General features: G+C 46.4%; 1 long non-coding RNA gene and 1 pseudogene across 1 annotated transcript, besides 3 other annotated features; both read left to right on the top strand.

Moving 5' to 3' along the window:
* The first annotated feature begins 284 nt into the window (after nt 1–284).
* LINC01716 (long intergenic non-protein coding RNA 1716) lies at nt 285–18848 on the top strand. The gene is made up of 6 exons (NR_136537.1): nt 285–334; nt 464–672; nt 2113–2275; nt 2923–3057; nt 17785–17852; nt 18776–18848. It is a non-coding gene; the product is annotated as a long intergenic non-protein coding RNA 1716 (long non-coding RNA).
* Nucleotides 7400–8032: an enhancer, noted in NCBI's record as "H3K27ac-H3K4me1 hESC enhancer chr20:55159734-55160366 (GRCh37/hg19 assembly coordinates)". NCBI's record gives its function as "activates a minimal SCP1, AML or CMV promoter by ChIP-STARR-seq in primed H9 embryonic stem cells {active_cell/tissue: H9 hESC(primed)}" and the evidence as "EXISTENCE:reporter gene assay evidence [ECO:0000049][PMID:30033119]".
* Nucleotides 18278–18869: an enhancer, noted in NCBI's record as "OCT4-NANOG-H3K27ac-H3K4me1 hESC enhancer chr20:55170612-55171203 (GRCh37/hg19 assembly coordinates)". NCBI's record gives its function as "activates a minimal SCP1, AML or CMV promoter by ChIP-STARR-seq in naive H9 embryonic stem cells {active_cell/tissue: H9 hESC(naive)}" and the evidence as "EXISTENCE:reporter gene assay evidence [ECO:0000049][PMID:30033119]".
* Nucleotides 18870–19462: an enhancer, noted in NCBI's record as "OCT4-NANOG-H3K27ac-H3K4me1 hESC enhancer chr20:55171204-55171796 (GRCh37/hg19 assembly coordinates)". NCBI's record gives its function as "activates a minimal SCP1, AML or CMV promoter by ChIP-STARR-seq in naive and primed H9 embryonic stem cells {active_cell/tissue: H9 hESC(naive and primed)}" and the evidence as "EXISTENCE:reporter gene assay evidence [ECO:0000049][PMID:30033119]".
* RPS4XP3 (ribosomal protein S4X pseudogene 3) lies at nt 24370–24836 on the top strand (annotated as a pseudogene).

The raw sequence follows: 25195 nt of genomic DNA on the forward strand, positions 1-25195 counted from the left end.
CTCCAAATCATGGAACTATAGGATGGCAGGATGGGAGAATCCCTGGACCACCCAGGGCCCAACCTCCAAATTTATCAGTTGAGCCAGCTGAGCCATTGCTCACCCACAGTTGTCCCGGAGCAGGCAGGCTGCCTGCAGGATGGAAGAACGTGGAGGAGGAAGGGTGTGCAGGGGCCAGGTCTTACCTGGATTTGTTGATTTTATTCTCAATATGATGAGAAGTCCCGAGAGACTTTAACATAATCCCTGATCTTATTTTATTTTATTTTATTTTATTTTAAAGATCATTGCAATCCCTGCAAAACCAGATTCAGGACTGGAGAGAGAAAATAAGGTATGGGCTGGGGAGTCAACACACATTTGTGCCTCTTTGATGGCAAGGCCTAGGAACACATGCCTGGGGTCAGCTTGCCATCATGTGGCCAAACCTAAGGACTGCACATCTCCCATCTTGCTTTCCCAGGGCTCCGTGTACTTGTGGAGACAGGATTTGGACCCAGGTCTCTCCTCCCACCAAAGTTCAGGGTCTATAGGCCTGAGTTCAAGTCCCGGTTCCTGCACTCCCAGCCATATGACCAAAGAGGATTCAGGTTCTGTATCCGACTCATGGGGACAGCAACACACTCATCTCTCACAGTGAAGACCCAGTAAGAAATGGCAGCTGTCAGCCAGGTGCAGTGGCTCACGCCTGTAATCCCAGCACTTTGGGAGGCCGAGGCAGGCGGATCACGAGGTCAGGAGATCGAGACCATCCTGGCTAACACGGTGAAACCCCGTCTCTACTAAAAATACAAAAAATTAGCCAGGCATGGTGGCGGGCACCTGTAATCCTAGCTACTTGGGAGGCTGAGGCAGGAAAATGGCATGAACCCAGGAGGTGGAGGTTGTAGTGAGCTGAGATCGCACCACTGCACTCCAGCCTGGCGACAGAGTGAGACTCTGTCTCAAAAAAATAATAAATAAAAGGCCAGGCGCAGTGGCTCAAGCCTGTAATTCCAGCATTTTGGGAGGCCGAGGCGGGCAGGTTGCCTGAGCTCAGGAGTTTGAGACCAGCCTGGGCAATATGGTGAAACCCCATCTCTAAAAAAAAAAAAAAAAAAATTAGCTGAGTGTGGCGGCGTGTGCCTGAAGTCCCAGCTACTCAAGAGGCTGAGGCAGGAGAATTGCTTGAACCCGGGAGGCAGAGATTGCAGTGAGCCGAGATCGCACCACTGCACTCCAGCCTGGGTGACAGAGTGAGACTCCGTTTCAAACAAACAAACAAACAAAAAAAATAGGGGCTGGGTACAGTGGCTCACACTTGTAATCCCAGCACTTTGGGAGAGGATTGCTTGAGGCCAGGAGTTTGAGACCAGTCTGGGCATCATGGTGAGACCTCCATTTCTATTAAAAAAAAAAAATTATAATAAGTAAATGTCTAACCACCTTATCTTAGGGAGGAAGAAACTGAGGCTCAGAGAAAAGCAGGTAGAAAGCAAGATTTCTCGGGCCAGGCACAGTGGCTCACACCTGTAATCCCAGCACTCTGGGAGGCCAAGGCAGGCGGATCACCGGTCGGGAGTTTGAGACCAGCCTGACCAACATGGAGAAGCCCCGTGTCTACTAAAAACACAAAATTAGCTGGGCATAGTGGTGCATGCCTGTAGTCCCAGCTACTTGGGAGGCTGTGGCAGGAGAATCACTTGAACCCGGGAGGCGGAGGTTGTGGTGAGCTGAGATTGTGCCATTGTACTCCAGCCTGGGCAACAACAGCGAAACCCCGTCTCAAAAAAATAATAATAATAAAAGAAAGAAAGCAAGAATTCTCAAGGCTCTGTTCAAAATGCAGGACTTCCACTCCCCAGGTCAGCAGTGAGCCCAAGGCTCTAGCTCCAGCGGAAGGCTGGACAGTGTTAGGGCCGGAGGTGCCAGGCAGGCACCCCAGAATGAGATGCAGAAACGGCCAGTGAGGACAGAAGCCATGGTGCTTTGGAAGCCCAGCTCCTTCTTCCTGCTGATGAACAGGCATCCAGAGAGCCTGTGAGCGGGGCTGTGTGCTCCAGGTCATGTCCCAGGTGTACAGAATTTCAGGAATTTAGTGGAGCTCTCGCCCAGCAATTTTTTGCTTTACAGGAGAGGAAGCTGAGATCCTGAAAGAGGTGGGGCCCGGCCCAGGGTCACTCAGCAATTTTCAGTAGCTGCTCCCTACTGGGGAACTGTGTGTCTGAGGTCGTGGCCATCTGTCCAAAGAGCTTCTTCTGACCAAAGTGCTCATTTTCATAGTGTGACCACAGAGGTATGTATTTTATAACCTTACCTCATTTCATCATCCCAGCAGCCTTGCAGGGAGGTTTATTTCCATTTTGCAAATGAGGACTCTGAGGCTCAGGGAGGTGACGTGACATGCGCAAGGCTGGGAGGGGTGGGTGAGGACTTGCCCTGTCTCCACTGGCCTCCAGACCCTGCGCTCACAGCTGGTCCCGTGTGGCATTACAAGAACATTTGAGCTTCTCAGGAGGGTTAATAAAGGGTGTAAGAAAGGACAGATCTTTAGGAGGGCCGTCTTCAGAGTTTACTTCTCTGTGTTCTAGAGAGAACCAACGACCCTCATGCATTGCTTTTTGGCAAGGGAAATGAAGGATTCAGGACAGTGGGCACTGGGCACCCACAGGGTTTATTCAAGCAGCCGAAGCTCCTGCTTCAGAACCTTGGCACGGTTAGGGCCCAAATAAGGGTCTTTTCCTTCTCACTTTGAACACAGCCTCGCCTAATTTTGTTTCATTTATATTATTGTTATCACTGCAGTTATTTGGGGTGGCCACCCCCATCCCACAGCTGCTCCCACCCTTCTCTGCTGTAGAAATGGAGGAGGGAAGGCCCAGTGGCTCCAGTGTGAGGGGAAGAGACCTGACTGCACCTGGGCTGTGTCTTCTCCGTCCACAGTACACCCGTGGGAAGAGGAGTCGGGGCATCCCTTGCTGGAAATACCCCAGCCCTGAAGGTTGCTGGCAAAACCACCATTTAATTCAGAACAAAAAGTCTGCTCCAGGAGCCCCTGAGAGCGTCAAAAAGAACAAGGTGGGTGGGTTGGGGGGAAACATCACTGAGAGGCTACCTAGGCCTGGATCCCCGGCAGATGCAGGTCCACAACCCGACGCCGACCACTGGCCGGCCCTCCCGAGTGTCTGACTGCGGGACTACCTGGCATCCACTCGAAGAGACCAGCCTGGGGCATCCCTCCCTGCGCCCCAACCCCTGTGGACACTCCCTCGGGAGCATTTCTAACTAGGCCTGGGTATGTGAAAAAAGAGGAATCCTTTCGCAGAAGGCAGGCTGGACCTGGGAAAACAGTTCTCCATGGATGGAGAAGTGAGGGGATAAAGGATGATGAACTTAGCTGTTTTCTTTCCTGTCCACATTGTTTCTAGGTTCTTTGGAACCAGGGGTCATCTTTTATCTCCCACAGTAACTCATGTCTGCCTTAGACTTATTTCCAACCCCTCAAGATCAGTTGAAGATCTTTGTAGGATCTACACATTCATACTTTACTTACTGACACCCCACAACCTGTAAACCATAACAAAATGCACCTGCTGCACACATCTGAAAGGTTTTCTTTTTTTTTGTTTTGTTTTGTTTGAGACAGAATCTTGCTCTATTGCCCAGGCTGGAGTGCAATGGCGTGATCTCAGCTCACTGCAACCTCTGCCTCCCGGGTTCAAGTGATTTTCCCCCCTCAGCCTCCCAAGTAGCTAGGATTACAGGCATGCACCACCATGCCCAGCTAATTTTTGTATTTTTAGTAGAGACAGGGTTTCACCATGTTGGCCGGGCTGGTGTCGAACTCCTGACCTCAGGTGATCTGCCCGCCTTGGCCTCCCAAAGTGCTTGGATTACAAGCGTGAGTACCATGCCCAGCCAACATTTTCTTTGCTATAAAATGTTTTAAAATGTATAACTGAGTTTTGCCAGCTGAATATAGTTCAATTTGTTCTTGTGATTCAAACTTTATTATGTTTTTATATAAAGCTATATCAAGAATCCAAAAACATTCTATACATTTGGAAGTTTAAAGACAAGCCTCTAAATAGGTCACAATCAAAGAGGAAATCACAATGTAAATGGGAAAATACCTAGAACTGAAGGACAATGAAAACCCTACCTAGTTAAATGCGTGGGAGGCAGGTAAGGTTGTACCTAAGAGAAAATATATGGCCTTAAATAAATGCACATATATAATCAGGAAGAAAGACCAAAAAATAATGAGTTAAAGTTTCAACTCAACAAATTAGAAAAGGACACCAGAGTAAATCCAAAGAAAATGAAAGAGAATGATAAAAATAATAGTAGAAATTAATTAGAATGCACTCAGAGTATCAACAAAACCAGAAGTTGGCTCTTTGAAAATGAAGACAAATAACTAAGACTAATAACTAAGACAAATAACTAAGATATTATTTATGAAAAAAAAGAAAATTATACATTTTATGAATGGAAACAGAGGCACTACAGACATGGTAGAGATTAAAAAATAAAAGGACAAGCCAAGCACACTGGCATGTGCCTCTAATCCCAGCTACTTGGGAGACTGAGACAGGAGGATCACTTGAGACTAGGAGTTTGAGGCTGCAGTGAGCTGTGATCATGTCACTGCACTCCAGTGTGGGTGACAGAGGGCGACCCTGTCTCTGAAAAGTAAATACACAGAGATAAGAGAACACTTTGAAGCAGCTATATACCAATGAATTTGAAAATTTAGAAGAAAACGACAATTTCCTGGGAAAACACAACCTACCAAAATCACTTTTGAGGACTGCAGTACACCTACATTCATTATATTGAATCAGTAGTTTTACATGCAGCCAAGAGACTCTACAAAACCTCTGTGATTTTGCAAGAAAGTCCTAACAAATAAAAAACAGATAATCCTTGTATTGTTCCAGAGAATAAAAAATGAGAGAAAACTCCCTGTGCTAGTCTGTTTTCACACTGCTATAAACAACCTCTCTGGCCGGGCGCGGTGGCTCACGCCTGTAATCCTAGCACTTTGGGAGGCTGAGGCAAGCGGATCACCTGAGGTCGGGAGTTTGAGACCAGCCTGACCAACATGGAGAAACCCTGTCTGTACTAAAAATACAAAATTAGCCAGACATGGTGGTCCATGCCTGTAATCCCAGCTACTCGGGAGGCTGAGGCAGGAGAATCACTTGAACCCAGGAGGCGGAGATTGCAGTGAGCCAAGATCACGCCATTGCACTCCAGCCTGGGCAACAGAGCAAAATTCCGTCTCAATAAAAAAAAAAAAGAACTTCCCTGAGACTGGATAATTTATAAAGGAAAGAGATTTAACTGACTCACAGTTCCACATGGCTTGGGATGCCTCAGGAAACTTACAAACATGGCAGAAGGGGAAGCAGACACATCCTACATGGCAGAAGGCGAGAGAGAGCGTGTGTGAAGGAGGAACTGTCAAACACTTAGAAAACCATCAGATCTCCTGAGAACAGCATGGGGGAAGCCACAGCCATGATCCAATTTCCTCCTCCCCTGACACGTGGGGATTACAAGTTTCTCCCTTCCCATGTGGGGATTACAATTTGAGATGAGATTTGGATGGGGACACAAAGTCAAACCATTTCACTCCCCATCTCATTTGTTTTTCTTTTGAGACTGAGTGTCACTCTGTCACCCAGGCTGGAGTGCAGTGGCGTGATCTTGGCTCACTGCAACCTCTGCCTTCTGGTGTCAAGCAATTCTCCTGCTTTAGTCTCCCAAGTAGCTGGGATTACAGGCATATGCCACCACATCTGGCTAATTTTTGTATTTTTAGTAGAGATGGGGCTTCACCATGTTGGTCAGGCTGGTCTCCAACTTCTGGGCTCATGTAACCCACCCACCTTAGCCTCCCAAAGTGCTGGGATTACAGGTGTGAGCCACCTCACCCAGCACCCATCTCATTTAGTGAGGCTAGATTCATCTTAGTACAATACCAGAGAGGAGAGAAACAAACACCATGGCCAGTATTGCTTAGGAACACAGTTCAAAAATACTACGTAAAGTATCATTAAGCCAAATGGAACTAAATATGGAGAACATATATTTTGTGTGCCCTCTGTGGAAGTCCCTGGGACAGGGTGGGGCAGCAACCTGGCAGGGAGCTGGTGCTCATATTGTCAGGGTGCCTGGGAGATCCAATGGCCCAGTAGTTGAGGAGATTTGCTGCACACAGGGTGACGGAGAAAATGAGTCAATATATGGAGGATTTCAGGGATCCAAGTTTCTTACTTTCTTTTTTTTTTTTAAGAGACAGAGTCTCACTCTGTTGCCCAGGCTAGAGTGTAGTGGCGCGATCTCAGCTCACTGCAAGCTCTGTCTCCTGAGTTCACGCCATTCTCCTGCCTCAGCCTCCTGAGTTGCTGGGACTACAGGTGCCCACCACCACGCCTGGCTAATTTTTTTTTTTTTTTGTATTTTTAGTAAAGACGGGGTTTCACCGTGTTAGCCAGGATGGTCTCGATCTCCTGACCTCGTGATCTGCCCGCCTTGGCCTCCCAAAGTGCTGGGATTACAGGCATAAGCCACCACATCCGGCTCAAGTTTCTTATTTTCAGAGAAAAAAAAAGTCCAATTATGGAAGGAGGAAATGCTAGAATGAATCCTGGGGAGCTTTTTGGAATGGGAAGAATTAATATGAATGTGTTTTTCCATATAAATATATAAAACAATCAATGTAAATGTGTACACACACACACCCATACCCCAGTAGTAATGAGCACACTTAGTAGTCAGATCTTTGTTTCTAAACACCACCTTCCACTAAAAGAAACCAGACCTTTGAGAGGTCAAGGCGGGATAATCCCTTGAAGCTAGAAATTTGAGACCAGCCTGACCAACATGGTGAAACCCCGTCTCTACCAAAAATACAAAAAAATTAGCTGGGCAAGGTGGCGGGCGCCTGTAATCTCAGCTACTCAGGAGGCTGAGGCAGGAGAATTGCTTGAACCCGGGAGGTGGAGGTTGCAGTGAGCCGAGATCGCACCACTGCACTCCAGCCTGGGCAACAGAACAAGACTCTGTCTCAAAAAAAAAAAAAAGAAAAAAGCCACTAGGTTTTGGGTAATTTGTTTACACAATAGATAACTAATGTGCGTGGAAATACAAGTGACCAAGGAATTGCTTATTGCTTTTTGTATGATCTTCATCTCTCCCACTGCTCATTCCGCATCATCCCCCGACTTTGGCCATCTGCACCCCAGTTGCCCTCAACCAAAGTCAAGCTCCACTCTCTAAGCTGGGCTTGTACTGTCGGGGTTCCCTTGCTGACGGCTCTCCTCATGAGACTCTGATTTTCCCCAAGACAGACCTTCCCCCTCCTTTTCCTTTATATGTTGAGCAGCAGGGTCCCTAGTGTTGGGCAAAGACCCTGGCAGACGGTGGGCGGTTAGGAATTGTCAGTGGGAGGAGTTATACCCAGTCATAATTGAGGACCCAGTGATGGTTGGATTTATGATGACTGCCAGGCACCGTGCTGAGTTCTGCAAACCCTAAATTCTAGACCAGGGGTTCTCAAAGTGCACTCCCCACCCGAGCAGCATCAGTATCCCAAAATTCCTGGGCCTCACCCCAGACCCACTGAATCAGAAACTCTAAGGGTTGATCCTAGCAATCCATGGCTTAACAATTTCTCTGGGTGGTTCTGGTCCACATTTACATTTGAGAGCCACCGTTTTGGAGTTTGAGAAGACAATGAATTAGGGCAAATGGGTCAATTCCCAGCAGAGAGAAGCAAGAATCTTTTCTGAGGCCCACACTGAATTCCAGCTCTTTCCTGGGCTGATGTTACCATTGTCCTTCATGGGGTGGGTCCACATTTCCAGTCGCCCACCTGGGGAGCTGGTGCAGCAGAGAATGTGCTTAAGGCTCAAATCCCAGCTTTTTTCCTGTTTTAAATCTCGGCTTTATTTACTTTTATTTCTCCAAGTGGGACTTCATGTGACTTATGGGGGAGCTATTTTGTTTGTTTGTTTGTTTGTTTGTTTTTTGAGACGGAGTCTCGCTCTGTCGCCCAGGCTGGAGTGCAGTGGTGCAATCTCGGTTCACTGCAAGCTCCGCCTCCTGGGTTCATGCCATTCTCCTGCCTCAGCCTCCCGAGTAGCTGGGACTACAGGCGCCTGCACCACACCTGGCTAATTTTTTTGTATTTTTAGTAGAGACAGGGTTTCACCGTGTTAGCCAGGATGGTCTCGATCTCCTGACCTGGTGATCCGCCTGCGTTGGCCTCCCAAAGTGCTGGGATTACAGGCGTGAGCCACGGCGCCCGGCCTGAATAAGTAAATTTAAAAAAAAAGAAAAAAAAAAGAGGCCGGGCGCGGCGGCTCACGCCTGTAATCCCAGCACTTTGGGAGGCGTAGGCAAGTGGATCACGAGGTCAGGAATTCAAGATCCGCCTGGCCAAGATGGTGAAACCCCGTCTCTACTAAAAATACAAAAAATTAGCCAGGCGTCGTCATGGGCTCCTGTAATCCCAGCTACTAGGGAGGCTCAGGCAGAGAACTGCTTGAACCCGGGAGCTGGAGGTTGCAGTCAGCCGAGATCGCGCCACTGCACTCCAGCCTGGCGACAGAGGGAGAGACTCTGTCTCAAAAAAAAAAAAAAAAAAAGAGCCAGGTGTTGGTGGCTCAGGCCTGTAATCCCAGCACTTGGGAGGCCGAGGTGGGTGGATCACCTGATGTCAGAAGTTCAAGACCAACCTGGTCAACATGGTAAAACTCTGTCTCTACTAATAATACAAAAATTAGCTGGGCATAGTAGTGAACACCTGTAATCCCAGTTACTTGGGAGGCTGAGGCAGGAGAATCACTTGGACCCAGGAGGTGGAGGTCACAATGAGCCGAGATCACTCCATTGCACTCCAGCCTGGGTGACAGAGAGAGACTCTGCCTCAAAAAATTAAATAAATAAATAAATATCTTATCTAGAGGCAGGGCTCTGTGTGTGTGTGTGTGTGTGTGTGTGTGTGTGTGTGAGAAGGAGGAAGGGACATAGGCCAGGCACGATGGCTTACGCCTGTAATCCCAGCACTTTGGGAGTCCAAGGCAGACGGATCACCTGAGGTCAGGAGTTCAAGATCAGCCTGGCCAACATGGTGAAACCCTGTCTCCACTAAAAAATTAGCTGAGTGTGGTAGCATGTGCCTGTAATCGCAGCTACTCGGGAGGCTGGGCAGGAGAATCACTTGAACCTGGGAAGCAGAGGTTGCAGTGTGTGAGATGGGGCCATTGCACTCCAGCCTGGGCGACAGAGCAAGGCTCTGTCTGAAAAAAAAAAAAAAAAAAAAAAAAAAAAAAGGAGTGGGGGGCGGGGGACAGAGAGAGGCAGGCTACTTTATAGAATTCCCTTTCTCTGTCAGGTGTTTGGAGCTCATTTTTCATTTTATTTTATTTACTTATTTATTTATTTTTGAGATGGAGTCTTGCTCTTGTTGCTCAGGCTGGAGTACAATGATGCGATCTCAGCTCACTGGAACTTCCACCTCCTGGGTTCAAGTGATTCTCCTGCTCCAGCCTCTGGAGTGGCTGGGATTACAGACGTGCGCCGCCACCCCCGGCTAATTGTTTTGTATTTTTGGTAGAGATGGGGTTTCACCATGTTGGCCAGGCTGGTCTCAAACTCCTGACATCAGGTGATTCACCCACCTCAGCCTCCCAAAGTGCTGGGATTACAGGTGTGAGCCACTGTGCCCAGGCTGTTTTTTATTTTATTTTATTATTATTGTTTTTTTGAGAAGGAGTTTTGTTCCTGTGGCATGATCTCAGCTCACTGCAATCTCCGCCTCCCGGGTTCAAGTGATTCTCTTGCCTCAGCCTACTGAGTAACTGGGATTACAGGCATGTGCCACCACGCCTAGCTAATTGTTTGTATTTTTAGTAGAGATGGGGTTTCATCTTGTTGGCCAGGCTGGCCTTGAACTCCTCACCTCAGGTGATCCGCCTCGGCCTCCCAAAGTGCAGGGATTACAGGTGTGAGCCACTGCGCCCGGCTGGTCTTTAGAGCTTATTTTCAAGCCCATCACAAAGTCCACTCCTCCTCACCACCCCATGAACTTTCTCGTTGTTCTTGCTGCTATCTAGAGTGCCATTCCTGTCTTTCTCCTTCTCCTAGAAGTTTTATGCAATCCATAGAACAATGCAGAAGTGACGGGGGGTTGGGGGAGGATTAGGAGGAGGAGGAGGAGGAGGAGGAAGGGAGAATGAACTGCTCCCAGTTCTCTGGCATGTATCCTGCCCCTTGCTTCATGCTCATGAAAAACATTTTATAGCATATTTACAGCTGCTTAGATGTAGGTGCAATGTATCCATGGAAATAATCCTTGCAGGATATACAATTTATTGTGTAAGTTAAGGAATAAAATGTCAGAAGGATGAATTATGTGCCCAGTGACATATAGCAACGGCATGGCTGAGATTAGCCTGGTTATCCCAATCACTCCTGCTCTTTCCCAAAAAAATGAGTGAGGAATGTGCCCCAGCTCCTCCATGTCTAACCTCCGTGCTGAGATGTGCTGAGCACCTACTATGTGCCAGGCACCGCACTGAGCTCTTTATACAATTAGATCTCATTGTTTCACCACCACATTGCAAGGCAGTTACTGTATCATCCTGATTCTATAAATGGAAACAGTAAAGCTCAGAGAGATACTTTAATAACTCAACCATTGTTACCCAGCCTGGGTGTGGCAGGGAAGCGATCTGAACCCAGGTAACCTAGCTTCGAGACTGTGGGCTTCACCACTGCTTTCTATTGGCAACCTTCAGATAGTTTCTTTCTCTTGAATATTTAGTATATTCGTTTCTATTGCTGCTTCAACAAATAAGCACAAACAACACAGATTTATTCTCTTACATTTCTAGAAGGCAGAGGTTTAAAATGGATTGGTGGGACCGGGCGCCTGTAATCCCAGCACTTTGGGAGGCTGAGGCGGGCGGATCACGAGGTCAGGAGATGGAGACCATCCTGGCCAACATGGTGAAACCCAGTCTCTACTAAAATAAAAAACTTAGCTGGGCATGATGGCACGCGCCTGTAGTCCCAGCTACTTGGGAGGCTGAGGCAGGGGAATTGCTTGAACCTGGGAGGCGGAGGTTACAGTGAGCTGAGATCATGCCACTGCACTCCAGCCTAGCAACAGAGCAAGACTCCATCTCAAAAGAAAAAAAAAAAGGATTGGTGGGACTATATTCCTTCTGGGGTGTTAGAGCAGGATCCATTTCCTTGCCATTTCCAGCTTTTTTTTTTGTATTTTTAGTAGAGACGGGGTTTTACCTTGTTAGCCAGGATGGTCTGGATCTCCTGACCTCGTGATCCGCCCGCCTCAGCCTCCCAAAGTGCTGGGATTACAGGCGTGAGCCACCATGCCCGGCCCCATTTCCAGCTTTTAAAAGCCGCCTGCATTCCTTGGCTCCTGGTGGTCACCTCCATCTTTCCAGACATCACTCCAGCCTCTGCTTCCATCTTCAGCTCTCCTCCTCTGACTCAGATCCTCCTGCCTCTCCCTTCTGGAAGGCGCCCTGTGATTACCTTGGGCCTGCCCAGATAATCTGGGATAATCTTTCTATCTCAAGATCCTTAATTTACTCCTATCTGTAAGATCCCTTCGCCATGTTAGGTAATATATCCATAGGTTGCAGGGATTTGGATGTGGACAGCTTTTGGGGGCTATTATTGGTTCTACCACATTTGGCTGTTTCTATTTTGTAGACTAATAACAAAAAACATTTTTGAATGCCTTCATAGACTTTAATTCCATTAGCTTAATTCCACCTGAAAAACCTGTTGATCGAGCAAAACTAGGTTATTTGGACTTCCTGCAGTAAAGGAGAACACCGTCAACAGATTCAAATTAGGGAAATTAGGGAATGGTATTTATGGGTTTTTAGGGCCCTGGCTGGGTGATGTTAAAGCAAGTCTTGCAAGGCAGGAAACTGGTTGCGATTGGGGAGTTTCTGACATAAGAGCTTTGGAATGGTGGGCCCAGGAAGACAGGGTTTTGAACTCACATCTGATGCATAATCTTATCTTCCAGAGCAGGTATTTTTTTGGAGCAAGAAGTGAAGTGACTTTTGCCTGTCTTGATATTGCTTAACCCAAGGATTATGTTGGTTTTAGCCCTTGCTAATTACAATAATAGTATTTTTTTGAGACTGAGTCTCACTCTGTCACCACGCTGGAGTGCAGTGGTGCGATCTCGGCTCACTGTAACCTCCGACTCCCTGGTTCCAGTGATTCTCCTGCCTCAGCCTCCCAAGTAGCTAGGATTACAGGCACATGCCACCATGCCCAGCTAATTTTTTGTATTTTTAGTAGAGATGGGGTTTCACCATGTTGGACAGGATGGTCTCGATCTCCTGACCTTGTGATGCACCTGCTTTGGCCTACCAAAATGCTGGGATTACAAGCGTGAGCCACCATGCCAGGCCATAATTTCCATTTTTTAGAGCACCTCCTACAGGCCAGGCAATTTTGAATACATTTTGACAATTACAACAACCCTACAAGGCAGGTATTTCAACTTAATCTCAGTATGGCGCAATAACTCCCCTCTTGGATTTTGGAGTCAAAAAGTCTTGGATAAAAATCCGGGCTCCTCCACCTACCTGCCAGGTGAATAGGCAGGTAAGTTCTCTGGGTGAGTCTCCATGTCTTCATCTGTAAAATCAGGATAATGCTTCCCACTTCGAGTGTGTAGGAGTGTGCACACTGTGTGCCCACATGAGTAAGGGGACCATGCTTCCCTGTCATTGTTTTTGTTTTGTTTTGCTTTAAGACAGAGTCTTGCTCTATCGCCAGACTGGAGTGCAGTGGCGCAATCTCAGCTCACTGCAACCTCTGCCTCTCAGGTTCAAGCGATTCTCCTGCCTTAGCCTGTCTAGTGGCTGGGATTACAGGTGCATGCCACCAGGCCCAGTTAATTTTTTATTTTTATTTTTTTTGAGACAGAGTTTCGCGCTGTTGCCAGGTTGGAGTGCAGTGGTGCGAACTTGGCTCACTGCAACCTCGGCCTCCCGAGTTCAAGTGATTCTCCTGCCTCAGCCTCCCGAGTAGTTGGGACTACAGGCACACGCCATCACGCCCAGCTAATTTTTGTATTTTTAGTAGAGATGGGGTTTCACCATGTTGGCCAGGATGGTCTCGAGCTCTTGACCTCATGATCTGCCTGCCTCAGCCTCCTAAAGTGCTGAGATTACAGGCATGAGCGACTGCACGAGGCCATTTTTTTTTTTTTTTGTATCTTTACTAGAGACGGGGTTTCACCATGTTGGCCAGGCTGGTCTTGAACTCCTGGGCTCAAGTGATCCACCTGCCTCAGCCTCCCAAATTGCTGGGATTACAGGTGTGAACCAGTGCACCTGGCCCCCTGTCATTGTTATCATTGTTAGTAGTGTCCTTTTTTATTTTTTATTTTTTTGAGGCAGAATCTTGCTCTGTTGCTTAGGCTGGAGTACAGTGGTGCAATCTCGGTTTACTGCAAACTCCGCCGCCCAGGGTTCAAGCGATTCTCCCGCCTCAGCCTCCCGAGTAGCTAGGATAACAGACGCATGCCACCACACCCGGCTAATTTTTGTATTTTTAGTAGAGACAGGGTTTCAGCATCTTGGCCAGGCTGGTCTTGAACTCTTGACCTCGTGATCCAACCCCCTTGGCCTCCCAAAGTGCTGGGATTACAGGCGGGAACCACCACGTCCGACCATGTCCTTTTATTATTCCCCAAAGAGTCCTTCCTTAGATGATGAATTATATGGGCACAGTTCCAATATGGTGACACTATGCTTATTACTTTTACTCAGTAGGTGAAAGGGGATGGATCAGTGAGCTTAGGTGACATGCTTAGGGCTGCACGGCTAATTGGGAAGAATTCTCCAAGCTAAAGCTGCATAGCAGACCAGGTGCTATCCTTCTGCCTGGAACAACTCAACACAATGCCAGACTTTGTAACTATGTATTTGTGTGATTTGTTTCGATTTTGATGTTTTTAATTGAGACAGAATCTTGCTCTGTTGCCCAGGCTGGAGTGCAGTGATTGGTTCACTGCAGCCTCAACTTCCTAGGCTCAAGCAATCCTACTCCTCAAGCCTCCCAAGTAATTGGAACTACAGGCATGCATCACCATGCCCAGCTAATGTTTGTATTTTTTGTAGAGACAGGGTTTTACCATGTTGCTTAGGCTGGTCTCAACTCCTGGCCTCAAGCAATCCACCCACCTCAGCGTCCCAAAGTGCTGTGATCACAGGGCAAAGCCACTGTGCCCGGCCCATTTATGTTATTTTTAAATGAAACCTGTCTTCCACCAGGCTCAGTGGCTCACGCCTGCAATCTCAGCACTTTGGGAGGCTGAGGTGGTCAGGAGTTCAAGACCAGCTTGGCCAACATGTTGAAACCCCATCTCTACTAAAAATACAAAAATTAGCTGGGCGTGGTGGCGTGCACCTGTAGTCCCAGCTACTCAGGAGGTTGAGGCAGGAGAATTGCTTGAACCCGGGAGGCAGAAGTTGCAGTGAGCCATCACGCCACTGCACTCCAGCCTGGTGACAGAGCTAGACTCTGTCTCAAAAAAAAAAAAAAAAAAATTGGTGAGGAAGAGATCATTCATCATTGTCACTGTATTTGATAAACATCCATCTCCCACAGCTGGGCAGACATAAGAGCGGGGAGAAATTCTGGCCATGCACTGGGCGCTCTCAGGTATGGTTTATATGCCTGGCTAGGGCCTGGCTCCAAATGTCCCCCAGCAAACAGGTTTGTTTTTTTTTTTTGTAATTACCATACTTTGGGCTTGGCCCTCACAAGATTATCTCCCTTGAATTAGATAGGATTTTTTTGGACACGATGAAAAACCGTGCCTCCTCTTAACAGTTACTATATTATAATGCTATGCCTTGGTCTTTACTGCGGGGGTCTCCTAGTTCCAGGAGGATATTAACCCACACATATTTGTGTATTTAGATGAAGGTAATATATGGTCCTGGTATTAAAACTTCAATCACTATAGAAGAGTTTTTAACAAGATTTAAAATATGTGCAGACCCCATGACTCAGCAGTTTGAACTCCAGGAACCTCATCTTTAAAAACATGCAACCAGCAGGTGTGCAGAGGATACTTCTTTTATCTCTCTTTGTAAAAGCAGGAAAAACTGGAATAACCTAAGGGTCTATTGAGGAGAGAGGGGTTGCTGACTTACACATCAGGGTCTATCCATACAATGGAATGCCTCTCAGGTGTCAAAAATAAGGAGGCTGAGCTGAAGATGGTATCAAGGATTTGGCATTAGAGAACAAAGCAAACATTAACATTATGTATGCTTGCACAGAGATAGATACTCATATAACTGCCTAGACAAGGGCCTAAAAATGCAAAGTACTTAAATCTGTTACCTCTTTGGCATTTTAAAAAGATTGTATTTAGATAATATTGAGGTCATTTTAGAAGACACACACTTACTGCATTAAAACAAGCAAAAGTTGAACAAAAAGGTAATAACGTTAAGCAGGTTACAATTCCATTGTAAGTAAATGGTGGTGTTAATAGTTCAAGTGCTTCCTTGGTCACTTTAAGATTGTTTTTCCAGAGCTGGGCAGCAGGAGAAATAAGTTAAAATTTCATTCCGACATCCCCCTGCCAAAAAATAGCCTGAAAATTCAGCCTCAGCTCTGGTCTGAATCCGGTGACAGGACTGACTACCAGGAGATCTCTCAGCCTCTGCGCTGCTGACTTTGGGGTCTGAGTCATTCTTGGTTCTGGGAGGCTGCCCTGTGCATTGCACGGTATACAGAAGCTTCCTTGGCCTCTACCCATTCGATACCTGTATCACCCCCTCCCAGTTCTGACGACCAAAAATGTCTTCAGACCCAGATATCCCCTGAAGTGCAAATTGCCCATCCCATCCCCACCTGTGGTTGAGAATCACTGGAGTAGGATGATGGACGTCAGGGTTTCCTGGGATCCACCTGGTTGGTGTCTCATGAACTGAGGAAATTACTAACTGCGCCCCCTTTCCTTCTGTAATAAACCACATGGTCACTCTGGCTCCGGCCCTTTTTCCCTAGAAAAATGTACCCATGCTTGTGGCATCATAATCCCCATGTCTGTCATTCTCGTCAACACTTCTCATGGTTTTTGTCACGCGCGTCCGTGTGAAGAGACCACCAAACACGCTTTGTGTGAGCAATAAAACTTTTTAATCACCTGGGTGCAGGCGGGCTGAGTCTTGTATATGTGCAGGTCACACAGGGGATAAGATGACTTAGCTTGGGCTCAGAGGCCTGACAGTTTTGGTCGTAGCCATCTTCGTGGATGCATGATATACCCTTTTGAAACTTCTTCCAGAACTTTTTTTCTTTTTCTTTTTTTTTTGGAGACGGACTCTTGCTCGGTCAACCAGGCTAGAGTGCAGTGGCATAGTCTTGGCTCACTGCAACCTCCGCCTCCTGCGTTCAAACGATTCTCCTGCCTCAGCCTCCCGAGTAGCTGGGACGGCTGACACACACCACCACGCCCAGCTAATTTTCGTAGATTTTGTAGAGACAGGGTTTCACCATGTTGCCCAGGCTTGTCTGGAACTTCTGGGATCAAGCAATCCTCCCACCTTGGCCTCCCGAAGTGCTGGGATTACAGGTGAGAGCAACTGCGCCCGGCCTTCTTGTCTTAGATTTGTTTTACTCAAAGCCCTGTGGCTTACCTTTATATGAAGTTCCAAAGAAGGACATTTTAACACTCCTGTACTTAAATCACTACAGAAGCATGTTTGGGTGAGGAAACTCTATGAACTTGGTTTCTAAAGAAGGCCTTCCAGCCACGGGCACGCTACACAATGTGGGGCCATTTATTTTGCAAATCAGTAAGACTTCAAAATTTAAAAAATAATAGTATAAAAATGAGGATGGACCGGGCGTGATGGCTCATGCCTGTAATCCCAGTACTTTGGGAGGCTGAGGTGGGTGGATCACCCGAGGTCAGGACTTCGAGACCAGCCTGGCCATCATGGTGAAACCCTGTTTCTATTAAAAATACAAAAAGAGCTTGAACCTGGGAGGCAGAGGTTGCAGTGAGTGGAGATCGTGCCACTGCACTCCAACCTGGGCGACAGAGTGAGTCTCCGTCTCAAAAAAATAAAAAATAAAAGAAAATTTAAAAATAAAAAATAAGTTAAAATTTGGATGAATTGCTGGGGGAATGGAGAAATCAATTTCTATTTTTGGTCCTTCTGCCCTGTTTTTGTTTGTCTTCTGGGCCATGCAGATGTCTTGTTTTTATAATTAAAAAACTAGGCGGGGTGCAGTGGCTCACATCTGGAATCCCAGCACTTAGGGAGGCTGAGGCAGGAGGATTCCTTGAGCACAGGAATTCAAGACCAGCCTGGGCAACATAGCCAGATCCCATCTCTACAAAAAATTTTAAAAGTTAGCCAGGTATGGTAATGCACACCTATGGTCCCAGCTACTGGGGAGGCTGAGGCAGGAGGATTGCTTGAGTCTGGGAGATCGAGGCTGCAGTGAGCTACGATACCAGCATGGCCCTTTAGCCTGGGTGACAAAGAGAGACCCTGTCTCAAAACAAAAACAAAACAAAGTATTTTATTATACGTAAGTCCAAACACATTAGCACAGGCCCTGAAGAACAGCAGAAATTGCACCTAAATCTCCTTCTCCCCATGTACATATCCAACCCCACCCCTTGTTCCCATTTGTGCTCAGCTGGGGTCAAGGTCTCACCATCAGAGCTGGCTTCCGAAAGGGCTCCTTTCCCTACAGGTTTCCCCCACTGGACTTTACCTCCAGATGCCCAGGACATGGGACATCATGCAAAGACCTAGCACGTGGTGAGCATTTAGAAAATATTTACAGAATTATTCACAGTATTTGTTGAGCACCTACTGCTTATTCATATCAGTTATGATCTGCTGTGCACTGCTGAGCACTGGCAGAAAGAGAAGACCCTGAGCATCTTAAATTCACGGCAGTTGCCAGCTGGAGTTCCCATCTGAATTTCCTGGAGGAAGGCAGACCCCATCGCGACTTTCTTTCTTTCTTTTTTTTTTCTCCTTGAGGCTGAGTCTCGCTCTGTCGCCCAGGCTGGAGTGCAGTGGTGCTATCTCAGCTCACTGCAACTGCCACCTCCCAGGTTCAAGCAATTCTCCTGCCTCAGCCTCCAGAGTAGCTGGGACTACAGGCGTGTGCCACCACGCCTGGCTAATTTTTGTATTTTTAGTAGAGACGGGGTTTCGCTATGTTGGCCAGGCTGGTCTCGAACTCCTGACCTCAGGTGATTCACCAGCCCCAGCCTCCCAAAGTGGTGGGATTACAGCCATAAGCCACTGCGCCTGGCCTCTTCATTTTTTTGAGACCAAGTCTTTCTGTTGCCCAGGCTGGAGTGCAGTGGCACGATCTTGGCTCACTGCAGCCTCCACCTTCTGAGTTCAAGCGATTCTCCTGCATTGGCCTCCTGAGTAGCTGGGACTACAGATGCCTGTCACCACGCCCAGCTAATTTTTGTATTTTTAGTAGAAACGAGGTTTCGCCATGTTGGCCAGGCTGGTCTTAAACTCCTGACCTCAAGTGATCCACCGGCCTCGGCCTCCTAAAGTGCTGAGATTACAGGCATGAGCCACTGTGCCCATCCCCCACCGGGACTTTCTAATTCAGGAATTCTAGAGTGGGACCCTGTAATTTGCATTTCTTTTTAAAATTATTTTTTGTTCTTTTCTTCCCCGCCCACCCCACCCCGCGCCCCCCACCCACCCAGCTTTTCCTGACTGGAGAAGAACGGGGACAGAAGGCCTGATTTGCATTTCTACTATTTCCCAGGAGATGTTGACGTTGCAACAAAGAGAACCACTCAAAGAGAATAGCTCTGTGAGAACCAATGTTCTAGAGTTTAGGAAGACCATCAATTGGGGTAAATGAGCCAATTCCCAGGAGAAAAGGGGAAGGACCTTTTCTGAGGCATGATCTGAATTTCCAGGGCTGATGTTGCCCTTTGTTATTTCCACAGGGGATCTGCGTTTTCAATCGCTCACCTGCAGAGCCGCCAGATTCTGGCCAATCTCGGCTTTTTTCCCTCTCACTGTGGGTTCTTCAGAGCCCCATGGTTTAGACACAACGGTGGATTCTCTTGTGCCCCAATTACCACATGCGTCATGGGGAGAAGAGCTTGAACCCCCCAGAGGGTCAGGTCCAGGTGAGAATTGAGGGTGACACTGAGAGAATTTAGCTAGGTGGGCGCTGTGTACCGCATCATTGCCTGCTCCTTTCGCAGTTTTGCATTTGTGTGTTGTACAGCTACGTGTCTCAACCTAGAAGGATCTCCAGGATGTATCCTTGGGTGGAAAAATTTAGGTACTAGAATCTAGGCCGGGCGCGGTAGCTCACGCCTGTAATCCCAGCACTTTGAGAGGCTGAGGTGAGTGGATCATGAGGTCAGGAGATCGAGACCATCCTGGCTAACACGGTGAAACCCCATCTGTACTAAAAATACGAAAATTAGCTGGGCACAGTGGCATGCACTCGTAGTCCTAGCTACTCGGGAGGCTGAGCCAGGAGAATCGCTTGTACCCGGGAGGCGGAGGTTGCAGTGAGCCGAGATTGCGCCATTGCACTCCAGCCTGGGCGACAGAGACTCCTCCATCTCAAAAAAAAAAAAAAAAAATTAGCCGGGTGTGGTGGTGGGCGCCTGTAATCCCAGCTGCTACTCGGGAGGCTGAGGCAGGAGAATCGCTTGAACCCAGGAGGTGGAGGTTGCAGTAAGCCAGGATTGCACCACTGCTCTCCAGCCTGGATGACAGAGCAAGACTGTCTCAAAAAAATAAATAAATAAATAAATAAATAAATATAAAAATTAAAAAAATTTTAAAAAAGAAATCTATATTGAGTTTTGTACCTACCTATGATTCATGGATACCTACCAGGGAAAAAGCAGAATAAAAACATGCACAGAAGGAAATATTCCAAATTGTGCTTGCCTGGGTGGTAACTTGCTATAATGTTTTACTTCTGTAATGGGAGGGAGTACACACGTGGCTATTCTATTATTCCTCCCATGTTTTCCTATCTGAAATATTTCATATTTTAAATGTTTATGTAATAAATTTTGTCAACCTCTTTCTTCAAGTCTTGGTGTTAAAATCATGTGTATTACTAAATCTTTTTTTTTTTTTTAAATTTAAGAGGCAGGATCTCACCCTGTCACCCAGGCTAGAGTACAGTGGTGTGATCATAGCTCAGTGCAGCTTCAACCTTTTGGACTCAAATAATTCTCCCACCTCTGCCTTCCCAGTAGCTGGGAGTACACGTGTGAGCCATCATGGCTGGCTAATTATTTTTATTTCTTGTAGAGATAGGATCTCACCACGTTGCCCAGGCTGCTCTCAAACTCCTGAGCTCAAGCAATCCTCCTGCCTTGGCCACCCAAAGCGCTGCGATTACAGGCATGAGCCACTGCACCTGGCCTTAAACACTTTTTCTTCCTAATATATTTTTACACCTTCAGCTGTTTGCTATATCTAACGGCCAGCCCTCCATATCCATGGGGTCCTCATTCATGGATTCAAGCAACTGCAGGTGGAAATTATTAGAAATAAAAAAGGATGGTTGTGTTTGTACTGAACATGGACAGTTTTTGTTATTATTCTCTAAACAATACAGTATAACAACTATTTACATAGCATTTACATTGTATTAGGTATTAAAGCTAAAGACTGCACAGCAGGTCCTCAAATAACTTTTTTTTTTTTTGATGGAGTCTTTTTTTTTGATGGAGTCTTGCTCTGTCACCCAAGCTGGAGTGCAGTGGTGTGATCTTGGCTCACTGCAACCTCCGCCTGCTGGGTTCAAGCGATTCTCCTGCCTCAGCCTCCCAAGTAGTTGGGATTACAGGTGTCCACCATCATGCCCAGCTAATTATTGTATTTTTATTAGTGACGGGATTTCACCATGTTGGCCAGGCTGGTCTGGAACTCCTGACCTCAGGTGATCCGCCCGCCTCAGCCTCTTAAAGTGCTGGGATTGCAGGCATGAGCCACTGTGCCTGGCCAACATTCTTTCATTTAACATTGTTTCATTATATCATTGATGAGAAAACAAATTGGTTTTGTTTATACATCCTTTCCCTTTAAGTCAAAGTTTCTAAGAATCTTAACTGTATACAGAAGGATGTATGGTTGGTTACATGCAAATTCTCCATCATTTTATGCAAGGGACTTGAGCATCCATGGATTTTGGTGCCTGAGGAGAGTCCTGGAACCAATCCCCCATGGATACTGAGGGACAACTGTAATCTTTTTTGGAATAAGGAATTAAAAATTTCCCCAAAATGCTTCTCCTTAATGTCATTTATTGAATAACTTGTTATTTCTCCACTGATGGGAAATAATACCTTTTACCATTTACCAAACCCCCATATATATGTGGATGGAATTCTAAACACCTTATTCTATTTTATTAAGTTTTCTGATTACCCTATACCAGTACCAGATCACTTAATTAAAATTGGTATTATTATCAAGAGGACACGTGCTTCTGGTAAATGATGTTGAGACAACACCTAGAGAGTTTAATTTCCCACCTCTCCTAACCGCACTTCCCAGAGACAAAGCTCTGGGTTAGGGTTCGCAGCAGGATTAAGGAGCAAGAGCCCAGCTGGGGTGCTGGGGAGCATGCAGGGCCTTAGGACCAGCGAAGGGAGGTTGCAATTATTTCCCCAGGGTTCTGGGTGGTCCCTGTTCATTAGCTAGAAATGATGCACCTTTGGGGCTAGCAATGCGCTGTGGTTGTTAGTACTTTATTGATGAAAAAAATGAGGTCATGAGTGGCTGTCTAATCCAAAATCATACTGCTAGGGAGTAGGTGAAATTCCTCAAGTTAAAGTTGCATAGCAAGACACATGCTGTTTCTTTTATTTGGAATATCTTCCCTCCTCCATCACTCTTTCACATGTTGTAGCACATATATGTGTATATATATGGTGTGTGTATATATATAGTATAAATATATGTATTTATTTTATATATTATATATACACATATATTATATATATGTATGTGTATATATATAATATATATCACATATATTTTATATATATGTATGTGTGTATATATATATGTATGTGATATATATATATATATGTATGTGATATATATATATATATGTATGTGATATATATATATATGTTTGAGTCAGGGTCTCACTTTGTCACCTAGGCTGGAGTGCAGTGGCACAATCACGGCTCACTGCAGCCTCAACCTCCTGGGCTCAAGTGATCCTCCCCACTCAGCCTTCTGAGTAGCCACGACTAAGGCATGCAATACCACATAGATATTTGATTGCTGTGTCCCCAGTAGACCAGAAACTCCAAAGTGTTGGGCACTAGGTCTATTTTGTTCACTGCTCTATGCGCAGTGCCTGTAATTGTGAGAGTGTATGGTAGGTGCTCAATGGATGTTTGTGGATTTACAGGAAAACCCTTATCCTGGTGCCTAGGAAAGGGTTAAGACATACTAATAATTTCGGGCCTAGTGGCTCATGCCTGTAATCCCAGCACTTTGGGAGGCTGAGGTGGGTGGATCACCTGAGATCAGGAGTTTGAGACCAGCCTGGCCAACATGGCAAAACCCCGTCTCTACTAAAAATACAAAAAGTAGCTGGGCGTGGTGGTGGGTGCCTGTAATCCTAGCTACTCAGGAGGCTGAGGCAGGAGAATTGCATGAACCTGGGAGGCGGAGGTTGCAGTGAGCCGAGATTGCGCCATTGCACTCCAGCCTGGGTGACAAGAGTGAAGCTCAGTTTCAAAAGGGGGGAAAAAAAAAAAGGCTGGGTGCAGTGGCTCACGCCTGTAATCTCAGCACTTTGGGAGGCCGAGGCAGGCGGATCACCTGAGGTCAGGAGTTTGAGACCAGCCTGGCCAACATGGTAAAACCCCAACTCTACTAAAAATACAAAAATTACCCGGGCATGGTGGCACGCACCTATAATCCCAGCTACTCCAGCTGAGGCAGGAGAATTGCTTGAACCTGGGAGGTGGAGGTTGCAGTGAGCCGAGATTGCACCATTGCACTCCAGCCCGGGCGACAGAGCAAGACTCCATCTCAAAAAAAAAGAAAAAGAAAAAAAGAAAAAAAGACATGCGAATAATTATGTGCCAGAGGGCTTTTGATCACAGACAGGCTCAGTCTCCAAATGTCTAGTACAGAATCCTCTAAAGATGTTCGCAAGTCCAGCGACATGGTGTGCATTCCAGTAACAGAAAAGCCTCTGCTTCCATCAATTATCTGTGTAGGTGCTGTGACCCCGTGCCTGAGTAACCCAGAGTCTGTGAGTAACAGAGCAGTCCTCATTTTGGTTGCTTTTATTTAAACATTGGTACCAAGCCACCTTTCAATAAGTTAGACCCGGCCAGTGTGGTGGTTCATGCCTGTAATCCCAGAATTTTGGGAGGCTGAGGCGGGCAGATCATGAGGTCAGGAGCTCAAGACCAACCTGGCCAATATGGTGAAACTCCATCTTTACTAAAAATACAAAAAAATTAGCCGAGCATGAGGGCACGCGCCTGTAGTCCCAGCTACTCGGGAGGCTGAGGCAGGAGAATCACTTGAACCCGGGAGGCGGAGGTTGCAGTGAGCGAGATTGTGCCACTGCGCTCCAGCCTGGGTGACAGGAGGCTCCGTGTCTAAAGATAAAAATAAAAATAAAAATGTAAATAAGCTAGACCCAGGAAGCAGAAATCATGCCCATGCCCTGGGTTGTCTTGGTTATGGTTTATGTGCCAGTGCTTTTGTTACCTGTCTCCTGGATGGGCTATTCAGGCTTACAAGACTTTCCCTTAATCACCACACCTGGGGAGTGGGGGTGTCTCATAGATTTGCTGCCACCTGATAAAATGAAAATTCTAAATTCTCCTGGAATATTTTCTTGTTTACTAGAATAACATATCCTACAAATCTTGGTCTCCTACCACAGGAGAAAATTATTGTTTTTATGTATCAACTAACTTACATTCCTTAAGGTGGACTTTTCCCCAGATGTTAAAAAATGCATGCTGGGCGTGGTGGCTCAAGCCTGTAATTCCAGATACTTGGGGGACTGAGGTGGGAGGATCTTTTGAGCCTAGTAGTTGGAGGCTGCAGTGAACTATGATGGTGCCACTGTACTCCAGCCTGGGAAACAGAGCAAGACCTTTTCTGTATTTACAAAAAAAAGAGAAAAGACCGGGCATGGTGGCTTATGCCTGAAATCCCAGCACTTTGGGAGGCTGAGGTGGGAGGATAGCTTGAGCCCAGGAGTTCAAGACTGGCCTGGGCAACATAGAGAGACCCCGACTCTGCAAAATATAAAAATTAGGGCCCCAATGTCTACGCACACCGGAAGACAGAGGTCCTCTTTCCTTGCCTAATGCAGCCATGGCTCGTGGTCCCAAGAAGCATCTGAAGCAGGTAGCAGCTCCAAAGCATTGGATGCTGAATAAATTGACTGGTGTGTTTGCTCCTCATCCATCCACCAGTCCCCACAATTTGAGAGAGTGTCTCCCCCTCATCATTTTCCTAAGGAACAGACTTAAGTATGTCCTCACTGGAAATGAAGTAAAGAAGATTTGCATGCAGCGGTTCATTAAGATCAATGGCAAGGTCCGTACTGATATAACCTACTCTGCTGGATTCATGGATGTCAACAGCATTGACAAGTCGGGAGAGAATTTCCGTCTGATCTATGACACCAAGGGTCGCTTTGCTGTACATCGTATTACACCTGAGGAGGCCAAGTACAAGTTTGTGCAAACTGAGAAAAATCTTTGTGGGCACAAAAGGAATCCTTCAAATATATATATATGTGTGTGTGTGTGTATATATGTATATATATTTATATATATGTGTGTATACATATGCATATATATTTATGTGTGTATATATGTATATATATTTATATATATGTATGTGTGTATATATATTTTTTTCCCAAAGGAAAAAGAAGACGTGAGCCACCGTGCCCAGCCTCCACAATTGTATTATACATATATCAAAACATGTTGTACACTGTAAATATACATAACTTTTATTTGTCAGTTTCAGCTTAACAAAACTAGAGGAAAAGGCTAGTAGAGAACAAAACGAGATACGGGCATAGATAATAATGCAGAAGAATGGACAAGTATATTGCCAGGTGGTAGATTTATATA

The sequence above is a fragment of the Homo sapiens genome, chromosome 20 (assembly GCF_000001405.40).
Source record: "Homo sapiens chromosome 20, GRCh38.p14 Primary Assembly".
Taxonomy (NCBI): Eukaryota; Metazoa; Chordata; class Mammalia; order Primates; family Hominidae; genus Homo; species Homo sapiens.